Here is a 4441-nt window from a genome sequence, read left to right as displayed (position 1 = left end):
GATGACAAGTGTTTCTTATTCAGACCTTTAAAAGGTGCTAGACTCTCAGCTAATCTCTTCAGGATTGGGAGGGCCTGGAATAAAAAATTCTAACTATGTTAATAGAGATTCTTTACAGGTGTAAATGTTCTCCCACAAAGGACTGCTTTGCAGGGCCATTTCAAAATATGGCAAAGAAACATGTTTTGGGGTAAAATATTTTTATTTCCTTTTTTGTCATATAACGTTATGCCAATCAGATTGGAAAGTAAGTCACAACATATAGGGTTAAATAAAACCCATATCATGAGAGTTTATGGTTTGTACAGCATGACTCCCAGGTGCTTTAGATGGGAATTTGGGCAAGATAAAAAAAAGCAGAGCTTAGTCCTCAGTGGTACCCATTTGACATTTATGACACCAGTGCAGTATAAAGTTTTATGACACAATTTAGTTCTAACACACTCTAACACTACTGTAACTGTGTATGTTGCATCTGCTTGGAAAGAAAAGGAAGAAATCTTTATTCATCTTTGAGGAGGGGAGAAGTTACTCTAAAGGAAAGTTTCATTTTTTTTTTTTTTTTTTTTTTTGAGACGGAGTCTCCCTGTCGCCCAGGCTGGAGTGGTGCAGTGGCGCAATCTCGGCTCACTGCTGGCTCCGCCCCCCCCGGGGTTCACGCCATTCTCCTGCCTCAGCCTCCCGAGTAGCTGGGACTTCAGGCACCCGCCACCTCGCCCGGCTAATTTTTTGTATTTTTAGTAGAGAAGGGGTTTCACCGTGTTAGCCAGGATGGTCTCGATCTCCTGACCTCATGATCCGTCCGCCTCGGCCTCCCAAAGTGCTGGGATTACAGGTGTGAGCCACTGCACCCAGCCGAGTTTCATTATTTTGATAGTACTTACCCAAAATTGTCATAAAGGAGGAACGATTTTTTACAGCTTTAAATCAGATATAGATATTTCAATTTAAAGTGCTCTATTTATAGAAGCACTAGACCAAAAAAATATTTTTTAAATGATAGGATGATAGATGGCCTACTTGTCAATGTGCCTGCTGCTAAAGTCCTAGTGAGGCAGGAAAATAGGGTATGAAAGCAGGGAACATAAGGCCAATTCACTCTTCAGCTATGACAGGAAATATCCTCCTCATAGGCATAGGCCAAGTAAGCGACTTTGTAACTTTGCTTCATCCTCTCCATTTACATAGGGCATACTCGAAGTAACCAATGGAATCTGCTAGAGGGTATTTCAACTCCCAAAAATTCTGTAATGAGGCCCTTGAGCCCCTATGCGCGGGTCCGCTCCCACACCGTGGAGTGTACTTTCATTTTCAATAAATCCCTTCATTCTTCCTTGCATTGTTTGTGTGTTTTATCCGATTCTTTGTTCAATATGCCAAGAACCTGGACACTGTCCACCAGTGAAATATTTTGGCAAGCTAGCCAGGAGGAAAAGGTAAGCCCAAAGTTTGGGATTCATTTTTCTCCCTTTCCTTTCTGCTTCATACAGGGGAATCTGTCACTACTTTCCTTTCCATCTCGGGACCGTTGGTGGGCAGCGCCTAAACTCAGCAGCAACTGCAGGTTTCTGTCCGTGGCCAGGGAAACTAAGTGGTTTCCATGTGGAAGAAGCTAACTGCCACCACTAAATTCGCTTAAAGGAGCTGGGACTTTTTCCAGTTTTTTTTTTTTCCTTTCTTTCTTTTTCAGTCTTTCAGTGGCTGTTTCTTAGTGGCTCCTTGGAAATTGAGGGCAACTGGCTGGGGTCACTCCCTGGTATTGCCCGAAGGCCTGTAAATGAATAGGAATAATTGCCCTAGACTGTTTTTAAAATTCTTTTCTGGGTGTGGTCCCTGATCTCTGTGTGCTGTGCACCCCGGAGAAAACTTGCATATGTTTCAGGTGACTTAAACCTTCTTTACTTATGCTAAATTCTTCCCTTCCCCTATTCAACTGACTAAGGGCAAAGGAAACCCACCCAGTCCCCAGTTCCTGTCATTAAAGTTCATGGAGCAGGAGGTCTGGGAAAGCATGGCCTTATCAAATTATAAGGATGCTAAAACTTGGGGATTACACCCAGGTACCAAAGGAAAGCTCATAGTAGGTTTCATGCGCGTCCGTGTGAAGAGACCACCAAACAGGCTTTGTGTGAGCAACATGGCTGTTTATTTCACCTGGGTGCAGGTGGGCTGAGTCCGAAAAGAGAGTCAGCAAAGGGAGATAACGGTGGGGCCATTTTATAGGATTTGGGTAGGTAAAGGAAAATTACAGTCAAAGGGGGTTTGTTCTCTGGCGGGCAGGAGTGGGGGTCGCAAGGTGCTCAGTGGGGGAGCTTTTTGAGCCAGGATGAGCCAGGAAAAGGACTTTCACAAGGTAATGTCATCACTTAAGGCAAGGACTGGCCATTTACACTTCCTTTGTGGTGGAATGTCATCAGTTAAGGTGGGGCAGGGCATATTCACTTCTTTTGTGATTCTTCAGTTACTTCAGGCCATCTGGGCTTATACGTGCAAGTCACAGGGGATGCGATGGCTTGGCTTGGCCTCAGAGGCCTGACATTCCTGCCTTCTTATATTAATAAGAGAAATAAAACAAAATAGTGTTGAAGTGTTGGGGTGGCGAAAATTTTTGGGGGGTGATATGGAGAGAGAATGGGCGATGTTCCTCAGGGCTGCTTCAAGCGGGATTAGGGGCGGTGTGGGAACCTAGAGTGGGAGAGATTAAGCTGAAGGGAGGTCTTGTGGTAAGGGGTGATATTGTGGGGATGTTAGAAGAAACATTTGTCGTATAGAATGATTGGTGATGGCCTGGATACAGTTTTGTATGAATTGAAAAACTAAATGGAATAACAGAAGGAGAAAAACAGGTATAGTGCCTAAGGAGATTCAGCATAGTCCTGCCAGTAAAGATTATTTATTTACTTCAAGAGTTTAGAGTGGCAGTTTGGGGATAGCACCAGGAGATATCAGCTGTGATGGCTTGGAGAAACAGTGTAAACCGGCAGTGTAAACAAGAGCAGGGCATGTATGCGTAGTTGAGAACGGTGAATAGGAGTATGACTAGACAAAAGATGGTAGGGATGACAAGTTTTTTTGGGGCACAGTCTAAGTTGGTCTGGTGTCGAATGAGACTGGGGCCTAATAAAAAGGAGCGTCTATACGGGAGCTTAAATTGGCTGTACCTTGTAGCATTCTGAGGACAGGCCTGAATTCTGAAGAAAATAGATTTTGGAAGTTATGAGAAATGTAGAGAATGAGTTGAGCATAGTTTGTGATTTTTAGGGCCTCTAACAGTATTAAAGCAGTGGCAGCCGCTGCACGCAGACATGAGGGCTAGGCTAAAACAGTAAGGTCAAGTTGTTTGGACAGAAAGGCTACACAGTGTGGTCCTGGCTCTTGTGTAAGAATTCTGACCACACTAACCATGCCTAGGAAGGAAAGTCCTTATTCTTTTGTAAGGGATTGAGGTTTGGGAGATTAATCGGACACGATCAGCAGGGAGAGCACGTGTGTTTTTTTGAGAATTATGCCGAATAGGTAACAGATGAGGATGAAATTTGGGCTTGACTGAAGTAATGGGGGCTGTCTGTGAAGCCTTGCGGCAGTACAGCCCAGGTAATTTGCTGAGCCTAATGGGTGTCAGGGTCAGTCTAAGTGAAGACAAAGAGAGGCTGGGATGAAGGGTGCAAAGGAATAGTAAAGAAAGCATGTTTGAGATCTAGAACAGAATAATGGGTAGTAGAGGGAGGTATTGAGGATAGGAGAGTATATGGGTTTGGCACCACGGGGTGGATAGGCAAAACAATTCGGTTGATAAAGCGCAGATTCTGAACTAACTTGTAAGGCTTGTCTGCTTTTAGGACAGGTAAAATGGGGGAATGGCAAGGAGAGTTTATAGGTTTTAGAAGCCCATGCTGTAGCAGGTGAGTGTTAACAGGCTTTAATCCTTTTACAGCATGCTGTGGGATGGGATATTGGCGTTGAGCGGCGTAAGGGTGATTAGGTTTTAATGAGGTGGTAAGGGGTGCATGATCGGTCGCCAAGGAGGGAGTAGAGGTATCTTATACTTGTGGGTTAAGGTGGGGGAATACAAGAGGAGGACGCAAAGGAGGCTTTGGATTGGGAAGAAGGGCAGCAATGAGATGCGGCTATAGTCCAGGAATAGTCAGGGAAGCAGATAATTTGGTTAAAATATCTCAGCCTAATAAGGGAACTGGGCAGGTGGAGATAACTAAAAAAGAGTGCATAAAAGAGTATTGTCTAAGTTGGCACAGAGTTGGGGAGTTTTAAGAGGTTTAGAAGCCTGGCTGTCAATACCCACAACAGTTATGGAGGCAAGGGAAACAGGCCCTTGAAAAGAAGGTAATGTGGAGTGGGTAGCCTCTGTATTGATTAAGAAGGGGATGGGCTTACCTTCCACTGTGAAAGTTACCTAAAGCTCGGCGTCCGTGATGGTCTGGGG

General features: G+C 44.5%; 1 annotated feature.

Moving 5' to 3' along the window:
- Positions 2089-2691: an enhancer, noted in NCBI's record as "OCT4-NANOG-H3K27ac hESC enhancer chrX:92083741-92084343 (GRCh37/hg19 assembly coordinates)". NCBI's record gives its function as "activates a minimal SCP1, AML or CMV promoter by ChIP-STARR-seq in naive and primed H9 embryonic stem cells {active_cell/tissue: H9 hESC(naive and primed)}" and the evidence as "EXISTENCE:reporter gene assay evidence [ECO:0000049][PMID:30033119]".

The sequence above is a fragment of the Homo sapiens genome, chromosome X (genome assembly GCF_000001405.40).
Source record: "Homo sapiens chromosome X, GRCh38.p14 Primary Assembly".
Taxonomy (NCBI): Eukaryota; Metazoa; Chordata; class Mammalia; order Primates; family Hominidae; genus Homo; species Homo sapiens.
The sequence above is the reverse complement of the archived record's forward strand: the minus strand, read 5'-3'. Positions and strand labels throughout refer to the sequence as shown.